A 15571-nucleotide genomic window follows, 5' to 3' on the forward strand; every position below is an offset into this window, starting at 1 on the left:
TCACCAGGCAGAATTGCAAACTGCTGAGTGATTTCACCTAGCTTGCAAAGTTTCTGAAATTTTAACAATTGGTTCCCTTGAGCTGGTAGGAGCCAGCTCCAGCACAACGCTGCAAACCCAATTAATAGTTATTTGTTGAGGGCTGTTCCTGAAGACTGTTAAGTCTTTGGCACTTGGACCATCTGTGCAGGTGGCAAAAAGTCTCCAGTGACAAGAGAACATCTCCAGGCAAAATAAATACAGGCGCTTGCAGTTGGAAAACCAGCACATGAGGGGATGCAATGCACAAAGAGTATCAGCTGCGTGGACTAGTTTCTGGAACAGAATAAAAAATCTATTTTATCCACCTCTGTCTATTACCAGGATGTTTAGTATGCCTTAACATTTCTTAGGGCTGGTTCTTTATTTGTTATTCTTTTTTAAACATTTCTTAGTTATTTATAGTTTCTTTATCTTCAAATTCTGATTACATTGGATTTATAGATTAATTGGGAGGAAAGTATACATCTTTAAAATTTTAGTCATCTTGTAACTGAGCCTTTATTATAAAGATCATAAGATGTTTGTTATACTTATTTTTTTATTTTTCCTTGTTGTTTTCTTCCTCTATGTGTGCTTGCTTACACATAGTCATTCAGTAGTCAGTATTTACTAGTAATTGATTAATGTCATATCCTAATTCCTAGGGCTTCCCACAAGACTGATGAACTTGTTTTTCTTTGAAAGAGCAATGATTTTTAGGTTATGTAGATCTCCTTGATGATGTCCATAAGTTTTATTTGGCTGAAGGATGAAAATATCTTGATCTTCGGGGGATCCCACCTCCCCTATACCTACTCTATTCATTAAAGCCCCCAGTTATGTTCAAAGGCAGGTCAGATTTGAGAGTTTGTCTCTCTCGTTCCCAAGCTTAGGCCAGATCAGAATAAACCTTTCTTTGCTCCTAAGTGTTGATGTGTCAGTGTTTGTCTTATTTACAGTACATTGAGTTTATGAACCCAAATTTGGGGGTTCAATAACAATCTCATATATGCTATATATTTATTTGTCCACTTACTCATATCTTTTTATGTTCTGTGAAAAGTTCACTGCTATTTTCTATAAAACTTGTAATCATTCATTCATATTTTAACTTCTAGATAATTCATGGGATTTGATGCTATTGTGAATAGTGTCATTTCTATCACATTATCTAGTTATTGCTGTTATAGAGTTTGCTTGTTGACACTATTGAGCTTTCTATGTACACGGTCAGATTTTAAAACTTGTGGTCCCATGACCCCTTTATAATCTTAACAATTATTGATGATCTCAAAATTATTAATCCCAAAGATTTTGATGAGCTTTCATTTATGTGTGGTGATATTTATTGTATTAAAAATTAAAATAGAAAATTTTAACCTATTAATTTATTGAATATAATAACTCATTAGATGTTAATATAAATAACATTTTTCTAGTCAAAAATGAGTAAATATTTCCAAAATAAGAATATATTCAAAAGAATTGAGTTGTTTTAGCTTTTTGCAAAGCCTTTAATGTTTGACTTAGTAGAAGTTGCTGAATTTTTATATATGCTTTTTATTTCAGTCTGTTGCCATGTTAGATGGCGTATAGCTTCTGAAATCACTGTACAATCATAAGAAAATAAAAATGAAAAGGTCAAACACAACTTAGTATTATGAAAATAGTTCTGACCTTATGAACTCTCTGAAAGGGTCTCAGGAACCTCCAAAATTTTCAGATTACATTTGAGAACTGCTGATGTAGATGACTTTCTCATTCATAATTATTTACACATTCAAATATTTTATCTATCATTTGTTTCTTTATTTTCTCATGCTGACGAGGATTTCTGGTTTCAGATTGTTCTTGTCAGCTTTGTCAAGGGTTTTCCAATATTAACACAATGTTCAATTTTTAAATTAATTTTTACTTAGTGGTTGTTCTCTAATTCAATGATTTATGCTGCAATTATGAAATTAATTTTTTATTCCTGCTTCTTTGGATTTGCTCTATTTTTTTTCTAATTGTGTTAATTGAATTCAAAATGTTTTATTACTATTTTTACTGTTTTGATTGACATGTTTAAAGCTATACATTTCCTCTAGGTACTGCACTAACAGTGTACTATAAACTTTAATGTAGTGCTTTGTTCATGGGTGACTCATTAATACATTTATACTTCTCCCGACCAAGGTTTTGTTGTTGTTGTTAGTTACGTTTAATTAATTATGGCCAGAGAACATAAACTATATAATCTTAATTGTTAGAAATTCATAGGGATTTGGTTATAGCTTAGGAATTTAAATGAATATGTATTTATTATTAAGTATAATGTTCTTGATAAACTTTTAATTTTTTTTAGTATTCTAAAACAAGATTACTTATATTACATAATAATAAGTAATCTATTACTTATTACTATTATTACTTAATAATAGATTAAGTAGTAAGTAATAATCGATTACCATCACATTGATTCCACATGGCCCATTCTTCCTCTTTCAAGAGTGATTCAATGATAGCAGATGTTACCCTGTGTCAGGCCTCTGAGCCCAAGCTAAGCCATCATATCCCCTGTGACCTGCACATATACATCCAGATGGCCTAAAGTAACTGAAGAATCACAAAAGAAGTGAAACTGGCCTGTTCTTGCCTTAACTGATGACATTACCTTGTGAAATTCCTTCTCCTGGCTCATCCTGGCTCAAAAGCTCCCCCACTGAGCACCTTGTGACCCCCACCCCTGCCAGCCAGAGAACAACCCCCTTTGACTGTAATTTTCCACTACCTACCCAAATGCTATAAAACGGCCCCACCCCTATCTCCCTTCGCTGACTCTCTTTTCGGACTCAGCCCGCCTGCACCCAGGTGAAATAAACAGCCTTGTTGCTCACACAAAACCTGTTTGGTGGTCTCTTCACACGGATGCGCGTGAAACCCTATACATACTGACAGAATATATTTTGCACTACAAAAGAAGAAATCCAAGCTTGTGAATTTGGAAGTTTATGTAGATATTGCTCTACACATACCACTCTCTTCTCTAAAGTAAGCTGAGTTTTCTCTGAGAAGAAAAAGGTGAAGATCCCTGCCCTCATTATGCAAGCACTTGGCACCGGAGAAGAAAAGTTTTATTGCCCTTTGAATGGAAGCAGATGGCTCCAGGTCTGACACTTGGTATGTGAGGAAATGGGTCTGGGGAAAGAAAAGAAACATTTTTTTTATGACATTTCAGTTTTCTTTGCTTAGAAATCCTACCCATACAGAAACATGAAAATGGTCATATGGTGTCTCAGAACTACTATAATTCTTTTGTTCAGGCTTATTGTGCTTTAAAAATCTTCTAGATCTTTGCTCATATTTATATTGCTTATGTATTAGACTCTGAGGTTTTTTTGTAAATAAATTTCCAGCATAATAGTTGGTTTATCTGCTTACTCACAGCTTTAAGTTCTTAAAAAAATCAATGTTGAGGCTATGTTGATAGGTGCATATATGTTTGTGATATTGCATTTTTTTAATCTATTGTTCTTTTCCAGATACGTGACATCTTTTGTTTTACATTGTGAATTTTCCTTGGTGAATTCTACTTTGCTTATTATTAAATTTTTCACCTGGCTTCTTTTTATTTCTTATTTGTTTGATACATCTATTTTCATTAACTTACATTCAAAATTTCTACATTCATTTACTTTAAGTTTGCCTCTTATAGGAAACATATTTCTGGATCTTTATTTTCTTATTTATTTTGTATCAAGCCTCAGATTCCTGTCTTTTAACTAATACATTTAATGCACATATATTTATTTTCAGGCCTCTGAGCCCAAGCTAAGCCATCTTATCCCCTGTGACCTGCACATACACATCCAGATGGCCGGTTCCTGCCTTAACTGATGACATTCTACCACAAAAGAAGTGAAAATGGCCTGTTCCTGCCTTAACTGATGACATTGTCTTGTGAAATTCCTTCTCCTGGCTCATCCTGGCTCAAAAGCTCCCCCACTGAGTACCTTGTGACCCCCACTCCTGCCCGCCAGAGAACAACCCCCCTTTTTCCTTTACCTACCCAAATCCTATAAAAAGGCCCCACCCCATCTCCCTTCGCTGACTCTCTTTTCGGACTCAGCCTGCCTGCACCCAGGTGATTAAAAGCTTTATTGCTCACACAAAGCCTGTTTGGTGGTCTCTTCACACGGACACACCAGTAATACAAATTAGAAATTTGTATTACTAATACATGTCATACATACATTTAATACATATAAGTAATATTACATTAGGACTTATTTTGCCATCTTATTTCATATTCACATTTTCTATTTCTGTATTTCTGTTTTGCTTCTTTTTGTCATTTTCTAACCCCATTGAAAAGGCTGATTATTCTAGTTTGAGAGTTTTTTTAAAAGTGTATGTTAGTTTTCTGGAAGCTACCTCTAATTTATTAAGATACATACCTAAGTTTATTTTTCTCTATCATTTCTGAAGTCGATCAGTATCTTTATATTTTTGGGCAAACAAGGCAATGATGTTAGCATGATCCCCTTTCTAGCTTTCTGGTATCTCTTGCCCTTCCCATCCTTTAACCCTGACATATTGGTTTCATCGATTTCTTGTTCTGGCAGACTTTGGGTATCCTATTTTAGGTAATGACAGAATGTTACAAGTTACTTATTTTAGCCCACTTCCATTATATATTTTAATGATTTCCTGTATTTATTTATCTTCTTGATGGAGTTCTGTTTCCCAGAGTGTTTTACGGAGTCTTTGTGTGATAAAACTTCAGAGGCATTGAGAATGTTTTCATTTACCCTCTTATTAAATAATAGTTTTGCTGTATGTAAGTACTATAAATTGAAATACTTCTGAAAACATTACCACATTTTTTTTTCTTAAAGTGTTACTCTTGAGAACCTAATGTAAATCTGATTTTTTTTTTTATAGGAAGACACAAGTTCTTTCTTTTTCTTTTATTTTTGTACGTATAAGTTTATGGGGTACAAGTGTTATTTTGTTACAGGTATAGATTGCATATTTGGGAAATCAGGGCTTTTAGAGTATCAATCACTTAAATAACATACATTGTACCCATTAAGTTATCTCTCATCATCCATCCTTCTTCTACCTCCTTACCCTTCTGGGTCTTCAATATCTATCATCCCACACTCTATACACTCTATATCCATGTATATACATTATTTAGTTCCCACCTTTTAAGTGAGAACATGCAGTATTTGTCATTTTATGTCTGACTTCTGTCACTTAAGATAATGGCCTCCAGCTCTATTCATGTTGTTGCGAAAGACATGATTTTATTTTTTATGAATGAATAATATTTTATTTTGCATGTATGATACATTGTCTTCATCCAGTCATCTGTTGGGGGACACTTTGGTGGTTTCCACATGTTTGCTATTGTGAATAATGCTGTGATAAACATACAGGTGTAGGTATCTCTTTGATGTAATGATTTCTTTTCCTTTGAGTAGATATTCAGTAGTGGGATTGCTGGATTCAATGATAGTCCTATTTTTTATTCTTTGAAAAATCTTCATACTAAAGGTTTCACTAATTTACATTGCCAACAGTGTCTAAGAGTTCCATTTTCTCCACGTCCTCACCAACATCTGTTATTATTTGTCTTTTAATAATAGCCATGCCAGTTGCTATAAGATGATATCTCATTGTGGTTTTAATTTGTGTTTCTCTGATGATTAGTGGGATTGTTTTTTCATATGTTGGCCATTTGTATGTTCTCTTTTGAAATACGTCTATTCATGTCCTTTGTCTAATTTTTAACGAGATTATTTGTTTGTTGTTGTTGCTGTTGAGTTCCTTGAGTTCTTTGAATTCGGATATTAAATTTTATAAATATATTATTTATGTAACTATGCCACATATAGTTTGCAAATATTTTCTCCCATTATGCAAGTTGACTGTTCATTCTTTTGATTATTTATTTTGCTGTAGGGAAGCTTTTTGAGTCCCATTTGACTATTTTTGTTTCTGATGCCTGTGATTTGAGGTCTTTGTCATGAATTCTTTGCCTAGCTCAATGTCCTGAGGAGTTTTCCTAGATTTTCTTCTAGTATTTTTATAGTTTCAGGTTTTACATTTAAGTCTTTAACCTATCTTGAGTTGATTTTTTACATGGTGAGAGATAAGGTCCAGTTTTATTCTTCTGAATACAGCAACCCAAATTTCCCAGCACCATTTATTGAAAAGGTGTTCTTTTCCAAGAGTATGTTCTTGTCATTCTTTTTCAAAGATGAGTTGGCTGTAAATATGTAGCTTTATGTCTGAGTTCTCTATTTGATTCCATTTATGCATGAAGACACAGGCTCATTATGTTTCTATGTGTTGGACTTCTTATGCTTGCTTAAATGTTTTATTCTAAAATCTTTCATTCTTCTTTAATTTTGGGACATTTGTAGTCATGTATTATAAATATTTTCATTCTTTTCTATTTTTGGTTGTTTTGAGACTCCCATTATATGGTTAGTGACACTTCCACTAAAGTCTATATATCTTAATGTTTTTGTAGCAACAGAATTAGTTTATACAATAAGTAATTTTTCTCAGTGGGGACAGAAAGCATAACTTCAACTAATAAGTATTAACCATTTGCCATTTCATTAATTTTCCTAAGAATTGCACTGTTAAACATGTGGGTGTTTTTTACTTTTATTTTTGCAGAGGGAGATTCTAAAACCCAGAGATGTTAGGTAATTTGCTAATCTACCTAACAAAAGTGGTACTAGATTTCAAATCTAAGCCATCTAATTCTAAGTCTTGTGTTCTTTTCATCCATGATATTGTCTCACCTAAATATGTAAAACTAGAAAGAAAAATGTAAAACAGTATCAACATATCTCTATTATGTAAATGATCTTTGAGGATTGCTTCAAAAAATAGTAAGAAAATATCTCTAACAAAATGCTCAGCTCATTAGATAAACTTAAAAGTCATGGGCAAACCCATCTAATCAAAGCCTTACTGAGTATATGTCACTCTAGTTTTATACATGAATACATGAAATATGTTAGCTGATCTTGGAAGCAATGTTTCAAATATGGTATTAAGTTAAATAAAATGTTTCCTCTTTATAAAGGAAAAATTTGTTGTTTTATTTTTTTCATTAGAAATCCCATCACATTTTACTTCACTGATGGACAGGAGTCAGTTTAAAGATATTACACATTAGAAAATAAATGTAGCAAAAAGGCAAATAATCCAGTCATATCAAGATCATTGTTTTCACAAAAGCAGCATGAGGATGTATTAACTGTCACATATGACTTATCAGGTCTTGACTTGTCTATATGTGCAAACTAAACATGCCATATGTCAATGCCATGCTGAGCAAAATTTCCATTTTCTATTAGCCCGTAATCTGAATGATAAATTAAATGGTTTTCAGAAAATAAACAAGATCTATAAAATTAGATAGTCAAAGGAAATTAAAGCTCCAGTTAGATGATTGTGTTGGGCTGTTCTTGCCTTGCTGTAAAGAAATACCTGAGGCTGGGTTCCTTACAAGAAAAGGGGTTTAATTGGCTCAAGGCTCTGCAGTTTGTACAGGAAACACAGTGCAGGCACTGGCATTTAGTGAGGGCCTCAGGAAGCTTCCAGTGGTAGAAGGTGAGGGGGAGAGCAGGTGTCTCATATGGCATGTGTAGGAGAAAGAGAGTGGGAGATGCCACACAATGTTAAACAATCAGATCTTGCATGAACTCACTCAAAACAAAGGTGATGGTGCTAAGCCATTCATGAAGGATATGCCCCCATGATCCCCATACTTTCCACCAGGCCTTACCTCCAGCACTGGAGATTACATTTCAACATGATATTTGGAGAGTACACAGATCCAAACTATATTATTCTGCCCTGGTCCCCACAAATCTCATGTCCTTCTCACATTGCAAGATAAAATTCTCTCTTCACAATAGTCCCCCCAAAGCCAGAACTCATTCCAGCATTAACTCAGAAGTCCTAAGTCTCAAGTCCGAAATCTCATTTGGAAATGAGTTTCTTTCACCCATGAGACCGTAAAATCAAACCAAGTTATTTACTTCAAAGATACAATGGGGGTATGGGCATTAGGTAGACATTCTCTGCCCAGAAGGGAGAAATTGGCCAAAAGAAAAGGGCTATGGGCTCCACACAAGTCTGAAACCCAGCAGAACAGTCATTATACCTTAAAGCTCCAAAATGATCTCTTTTGACTCCATGTCCCACATCCAGGGCACACTGCTGCAAGGGGGTGGGCTCCCAAGGTGTTGGGCAGCTCTGTCCCTATGTCCTTTGAGGGTTGAGCCACCACAGCTGCTTTTACAGGTTGGAGTTGAGTGCCAATAGGTTTTCCAGGTGCATCATGGAAGCTGATTGTGGATATACCATTATGGGGTCTGGTGGATGGTGACTCCTTTCCCACAGTTCCACTAGGTATGTTCCAGTGGGACCTCTGTGCTGGGGCTCTAACCCCACCTTTTTCCTCCTCCCTACCCTAGTAGAGGTTTTCTGTGAGGACCCTGTTCCTGTGGCAGGCTTCTGCTTAGGTACCCTAGGCTTTTCTATACATCCTCTGAAATCTCAGTGGAGACTGCCAAGCTTCCTTCACTCTTGTCCTCTGTGCACCTTCAGGCTTAATACCACATTGAAGCCACCAAAGCTTACAGCTTTTACCTTCTGGAGTGTTGGTCTGAGCTGTATCTAGGCACCTTTGAGCTAGAGCTGTAGAGTGGGGATGCAGGGAGCAGCCACCCTAGGTGGCACAAGGCGTTTGTGCTCCTGGCCTGACCCAGGAAACCATTCTGTTCTTCTGGGCCTCTGGACTTGTGATGGGAGGCGTTATCTTGGAAGATCTCTGAAATGGCTTGGAGGACTTTTTCCCATTGTCTTGGCTATTAGTTCATAGCTCCCTTTTAGTTATGCAAATTTCTCTAGCAAGTGGTTGCTCTGCGGCCTGCTTGGATTCTTCCCCTGAAAAGGGGCTTTTCTTTTCTACCATGTTGCCAGGCTGCAAATTTTTCACACTTTTATACTTCTGCTTCCCTTTTAAATATGAGCTTCAATTTTAGGTCATTTGTTTGCTCGCACATCTAAGCATAGGATGTTAGAAGCAGCCACACCACATATTGAACACTTTGCTTCTTAGAAATTTCCTCCACAAGATACCATAAATCATCACTATGAAGTCCAAACTTCCACAGATCCCCACAGCATGAACAGAATGCAGCCAAACTCTTTGCTAAGGGATAACACACATGACTTTTGCTACAGTTTCCAATAAGTTCCTTATTTCCATTTGAGACCTCTTCATCCTGACTTCCCTGTCCATGTCACTATCAGCATTTTGGCCACAACCATTTAACCAGTCTCTAAGAAGATCCAAACCTTTGTTTTTTTTTTTTTGTTTGTTTGTTTTTTGAGACAGAGTCTTGCTCTGTCCCCCAGGCTGGAGTGCAGTGGTGTGATCTTGGCTCACTGCAAGCTCCGCCTCCTGGGTTCACACCATTCTCCTGCCTCAGCCTCCTGAGTAGCTGAGACTACAGGTGTCCACCACCACGGGCAATTTTTTTGTATTTTTAGTAGAGATGGGGTTTCACTGTGTTAGCCAGGATGGTCTTGATCTCCTGACCTCATGATCTGCCCGCCTTGGCCTCCCAAAGTGCTGGATTACAGGCACAAGCCACTGCACCCAGCACCAGAAGATCCAAACTTTCTTTGATATTCTTGTCTTCTTCTGAGTCCTCCAGAATCTTTCAACCTCTTCCCATTCCAAAATTTCTTCCACATTTTCAGGTATACTTATATCAATGCTCCACTCCTCAGTACCATTTTTTTGTGTTAGGCTATTTGTTCTTGCATTGCTATAAAATTACCTGAGGGTGGGTAATTTATAAGAAAAGAGGTATAGTTGGCTCATGGCTTTGCAGGCTGTGTAGGAAACATAGTACTGGCATCAGCTTCTGGTGAGGGCCTTAGGAAGCTTCTAATCATGATAGTAGGTGAAGGTGGAACAGGTATCTCACATGGCATGGGTAGGAGCAAGAGAGAGCGAGTAGGAGGTGCCACACATTTTTAAACAATTGGATCTCACATAAACTCACTCATAATAAAGGGGATGGCACTAAGCCATTCATGAGGGATATACCCCCATGATTCCAATGCCTTCCACCAGGCCTCACCTGCAACACTGGGGATTGCATTTCAACATTAGATTTGGGGAAGACATATCCAAACCATATCAATGGTAATGGCTTTTCACTGTATAGGATATTAGCAGATGAAGTGGTGATAAAACTTTAGATTTTCTATGCTAGAACCTCAGAGTTTCAATGCTGCAAGGGACTTTGAAAGCTTTTAATACAATATCCTAATATTGATAAGAAGAAATTGATACCCAGGAATGCTAAGTGACTAAATCAAAGGTAACAGAGTACAACTGGGCCCTTAGGCATTTAGCAGTGATAATGAGTCTTTTTCACTGATAGGCAGAATGGTTTGGTAAAAGGCTTTAGAGCCTGGTAGACTTGGGCTTGAAACCTGGTAAGGCTACTTATGGCCATGTGCCTTAGAAAAGTTATTTAACAGGCTTCTCTACATCCATAAACTGGGGGTAATAGGACTTAATCTGATAGGGCTACTGTAGATAGAAGTAGACATAATTATGTAAAATATCTGATTCAAAGTAGGCTTTAAACCAGTGTTAACTATCAGAGTTTATTATCAAAAGAAATGCTGTTATTATTTGTTGTAGATTCATTACATTTGAGTTTTTTCAAAATAGATCAATTTTTTTTCTGTTCTTTAGAATGAATTTTGATATGAGGTTATTTTGATCTTATATTACTTTCATTATTGATCATGTTTTCCTGTTGAGTGCTTTGAATTAAATTACATCAGAGGAATATGAATACATATAATTTTTGTTTTTTTTTTTAAGAAAAGGAAAAAAATTGTGGATATTTGCTCACCAGGCAAGTTTTTATTCATCATTTCAAATCTAAGAATAGAATGAGGATCTATGTGCTATTGTATTTGTGAAAGGAAATAATGCTACCATCTTGATAGAATGAAAAGGGATGATTTGGCTGGAAAATAAACTATAGAGGATAAAAAAAGATGATCAAATATTGGAGAATAACTTCAAATGTTGAAAAAGCAGATAAAAAAGTACATTTAATTGAAGATGGCCCTTAAAGAACTTAGTGATAATATTGAACTGTTAAAATATTCATAATGATTATCAACAAAGCTGAAGATAAATAGCTAAAAAAACAGGTGAAATAATGGAAATGGTAAATACATGTTAAGTGAACAAATTATAAAATATTATGTTTATATAAAGTGGTAGTAGGAACTTTTAAAAATGAAGTAAGGGTATGATATGGATTTTTTAGTTTTGCTGAAATCTTTTGCCTTCATTCGATTAAAGAAAAAGACAATATTCAATTCTATGGTTTTAAAGAAAGGACTAGGAAAAAGACGTAAAAATGTAAGTTGTTGGACTAAGAAAAATAGGAAAATTTCAAAAGGGCCAGATACATACTGCTTTCTGACTCTCAATGAATGTTTAATGCTGTTGGGTTTAGGTAATGGATAGATAAATATTTTAGCTTGCCTATTCACATCCACAATGCAGCAGAACCGGAAGAGTCCAGTCTGCAGCCCTCTTTCAGGAGTTTGGATTTATTAGACTGGGATAGGGCCTAGAAATCTGCATCCTAAAAAATTTCTTCAGATAATTTGCAACTAAACTTGGGAAGTACTGCAACATGTTAAAATATCAATTATGTTAGGAAAAATGAATATTGTGCTTTAGTTACATAGAATAAATTGTTCTAGACTCTTGGAAGCATAGATGATCATTTCCTAGATCCTCTTCTCAAAGAACTTAATCTGTTAGAAGATAGTTGCCCTAACAATCTCTTAAGAAAAGTACTCTTACATTAGCTAAATGTAAGAGTAGATTACTTTCCTTTTGGAAAGGAGAAATGTAAGAGAGCAGGCTTTCTGAATAAAGTTTTGATAAACTATTAGGTCTTAATAGGATCCATGGGAAAAAGGCTTTCCAGGAATGAACAATAATGTGAGCACCAGCAACAAAATCTGCTCAGAGTAGATTTGGAGAAAGGCAAATCATTTTAGTTTAGAAGATATTGATGGCCAAATATTCATTCAGTCAATAAATATTTATGGAGAGCAAACCAGGAGAAAAATAGTTGTAGTATGAAGAGAGAGAAGTAATTAGATTCAAATGATACTCAACTAGAACTTAAAGATTAATAAAATGTAGGCTAGAACTTAATGATTAATTGGGTTTGGGCAGGATGTGAATGAGGGAGAGGACGAAAAGATCACTTGAAATTTCTGGTGCAAACCACTGCCTGTGTTACAATAATAGGTACTGGTTTTTGGATGCCTCTTATAGACACTGAACTTGCTCATTTGACTTGGTTTCACTTAAACTTTTTGACAGTGCAGTACAGTGGGAAATACAGCACCTTTGTTGATACTAGAGATAGTCATATTATCATGAATGGATAAGGAACATTTTCCATACTTGACAGGACCACTTTCATTCATTTTCTCTCCTATTAAAGAAATCAGGAACAGTACAATACATTGATTAATATTCCACTACTGTCAATGGGAAATGATACATTCCAATTCATATTCAAAATAAAAATATTTTAAATTATCATTGCTTTACCTAAGATACTTAATTTTGGTTAACAACAGTCCTCTCATTGGAGATCAACTATGATTGTGCTTAAGATTGAACTTAAGAATTCATTAATACTGTTTATTACTCTCAATTTAGTTTCATGCTCTTGGACAAAGTTATTTATTTTAAAATAATAATCCCCTAAACCACTTATTATCAGGAGTTATGAAAACAAATGGAGATATTTTAGGGTGTGCAAATCAAATGTATTTTCCTCTTAATTTTCACTAAGAGAAGGGATGAGTTTTTAAATATAATCTCAGGAAGAGCTCATGTTCCCTCTCCAAAAAGTATGCTTTTTCACAGACATTAAAAATTCAGAAACAGAGTAAAATTAGAAAATCAAAGATTATTATGAATAAACATAATGCTCTTTCATAGTTTCTATTTTATTTTTCATTATAATTTATGGCATTATGAATTTTGTAAAAGAATTTGGTCAGAATTTAAAAAAAAAAAAAAGGAACCTAGTGTAATCGCCAATTCTAACTTTAATGACCAATTTATTGGAAGTTAAGCAGGAGAGCCACAGGATGAATACATGTATAATTACAATAATTCTCAACCAGAATATCATGCCAGGGTGTGGTTCCAAAGCACACAGTTCAGTGCTGCTCATACTTGCCCCCCAAATTTAGTTAGCACACATTTTTGCTTGAAGAAAGAACATCCTGTCAAAGTCTAGTTTAAGTCTGTAGTCACCAGTGATGACATGGAAGAAATTTAAATTCTACTGCCTAAAGACCCTGGGGCATGGGAGAGGTTTATAAGTAAGGCCACATTCTGCTCTTACCCAAACATCCCATCAGCCTTGGATCCTGCTAAATTCAATAGCGACTAGAGACAAGACTGTGTACCTCAGAGTCATTTGAAGTGTCTGTAATTAAGAGGATTAGAAAAATTTGGAGATACTGTAAATATTAATATACAGATGTATAAACAGCCTTGAGGTTGAAGTAATGGTATAAGTTGCAATTTTTGTCATGTTCATAGAGAAGAAACTGCTATCATTAATTTCTTTTCTATTCAACTTCAGTACATAGATTAGAGGAATGTCTTGTCTATGAATAAACAAAACTATTTATCAGACCCATATGAAAATAGTAATATAGCTAGGTTAGATAGATAGATAGATATCAACTTATTTCAACTACTGTTCAGAAGGTTGGGACAAGAATGTATGCTTAGTCTTTAGACCTGTGTCTTCTCCCATTTCTTGGTTTCTAGTAGTGAGGGGTGACAACCACAGTTAGAGCACAACCAGTGGAGACTACATTGGGGGCTGGATGAGGCCTAAGGCCTGCAGTTAACACTCTGGGTAATCAATTACTCAATCCATTTCTGTGAGACTAAAAGACATACTGCCAATAACAAGACAACATGTTTTTTTTTTTTATTATAGAACAAAGGAAAGTAAAATAAAAGCCAAGTGCAACCAGCAATTCATTACCAATGTAGTTAACACTGATTAATATACAAAGGTCATTTGCAGTTGTGCTTTCAGTCCTCATGATCCATTTGCCTCCAGGTTAATATTGTCCTCTTGCTTACTATTGTTAGTGAGAATTATAAGCAGCAAGCTCTTTTGGGTCCGAGCTATTTTGTGTCTTATTAATAGCCATCTTCCTACAGTAGAATAGTTTGATTCATCTCTCCCATGGAGCAAAACCTACTGCCTATTTCCATGCCCACCACCATCCTGGCTGTCTCTGTACAACACCCACTTTACCTCTAAGTTTAACGTAAGCCCCAATTTCCTGTAATTAAGAGAAGGATTACTTCTAATAATAGAAAAGGCCTACCTTTTCTATTATAGTGGTTATTAGGTCTGTTCACAAATACTCCAATTTGCCTCTCCTTACAGAAACATGGTAGAATTGCATTTTACTAGTAATTTTCAATTAAGTGTGGTCATCTAACTTGCCTTGGGCAAAGAAATGTTGAAGAGAAATGTCATGTGCCATTTCCATGTGGAAGCTTTAAGAGTCAGTGCATGCTTTGTCACAATCACTTTTTCCTGCTTCAGAGATCATGAAAATAAGAGCTAATATCAAATGTATGTCAGCAGCATCTTTGAATAATCACAAAGAGCAGGGCCTTCTTTCAAATCTGCAGTGGACATGAAGCATTAGACCACTGAAAATTTGAGCTTGTTTATTACTACAGCATAAATTAGCTTATTCTGACTCACTTTATACTTAGAACTTGGCAATTTTCTATTCAACTTGACTGTTTCACCAGCTAAAACTGGTGAATGATTTGAAAGTTGAGTTTTGAAAGCTTATTCTTATTTTAATCCAGAATACTTCCATTATATAATCATGGGAAACAAATTTTTAAAATTGATCTTTATTTTTGCATGATGGAAAATCTCTTTTTTGACTTTCTTTATAATTTGTCCCCTACATTGCAAAGTCCAATTGTCTAGAAAATATAAATGATATCTCCACAGAAATTATATGTTTATAACCCTTAGTCAAAATGGCAATTAAGCTGGGCACAGTGGTACATGCCAGTAGTTCCAGCTACTCAGGAAGCTGAGGTGGGAGGATTGCTTGAACCCAGCAATATAAACTGCTCAGGCAGTTTGAGTCTAGTATAGGCAATATAGTGAGACTCTGTCTCTGAAACAACAACAACCATATATCTAGATAATTGTTGCTATATATATATGTGTGTGTGTGTGTGTGTGTGTGTATTTGTTGCTAAGTATATATAAAGTTATTTGATTATATATTTGTAAATTTAATTATAATTAACTAATTGTTACATTATGTTATATAATATAATTGTAAGTTATAAACATATAACTTCTGCAAAGATATTTATATATTT

General features: G+C 35.2%; 1 long non-coding RNA gene across 1 annotated transcript in view, besides 3 other annotated features; it reads right to left on the minus strand.

The window, feature by feature from the left end:
• Positions 1-15571, minus strand: part of LINC02540 (long intergenic non-protein coding RNA 2540) — a 71176-nt gene that overhangs the window by 36037 nt on the left and 19568 nt on the right. The window lies entirely within an intron of this gene.
• Positions 2351-2890: an enhancer, noted in NCBI's record as "OCT4-NANOG-H3K27ac hESC enhancer chr6:77270552-77271091 (GRCh37/hg19 assembly coordinates)". NCBI's record gives its function as "activates a minimal SCP1, AML or CMV promoter by ChIP-STARR-seq in naive H9 embryonic stem cells {active_cell/tissue: H9 hESC(naive)}" and the evidence as "EXISTENCE:reporter gene assay evidence [ECO:0000049][PMID:30033119]".
• Positions 3430-3969: an enhancer, noted in NCBI's record as "OCT4-NANOG-H3K27ac hESC enhancer chr6:77271631-77272170 (GRCh37/hg19 assembly coordinates)". NCBI's record gives its function as "activates a minimal SCP1, AML or CMV promoter by ChIP-STARR-seq in naive and primed H9 embryonic stem cells {active_cell/tissue: H9 hESC(naive and primed)}" and the evidence as "EXISTENCE:reporter gene assay evidence [ECO:0000049][PMID:30033119]".
• Positions 3970-4507: an enhancer, noted in NCBI's record as "OCT4-NANOG-H3K27ac hESC enhancer chr6:77272171-77272708 (GRCh37/hg19 assembly coordinates)". NCBI's record gives its function as "activates a minimal SCP1, AML or CMV promoter by ChIP-STARR-seq in naive H9 embryonic stem cells {active_cell/tissue: H9 hESC(naive)}" and the evidence as "EXISTENCE:reporter gene assay evidence [ECO:0000049][PMID:30033119]".

This window comes from Homo sapiens, chromosome 6 (genome assembly GCF_000001405.40).
Source record: "Homo sapiens chromosome 6, GRCh38.p14 Primary Assembly".
In the NCBI taxonomy this organism is placed as follows: domain Eukaryota; kingdom Metazoa; phylum Chordata; class Mammalia; order Primates; family Hominidae; genus Homo; species Homo sapiens.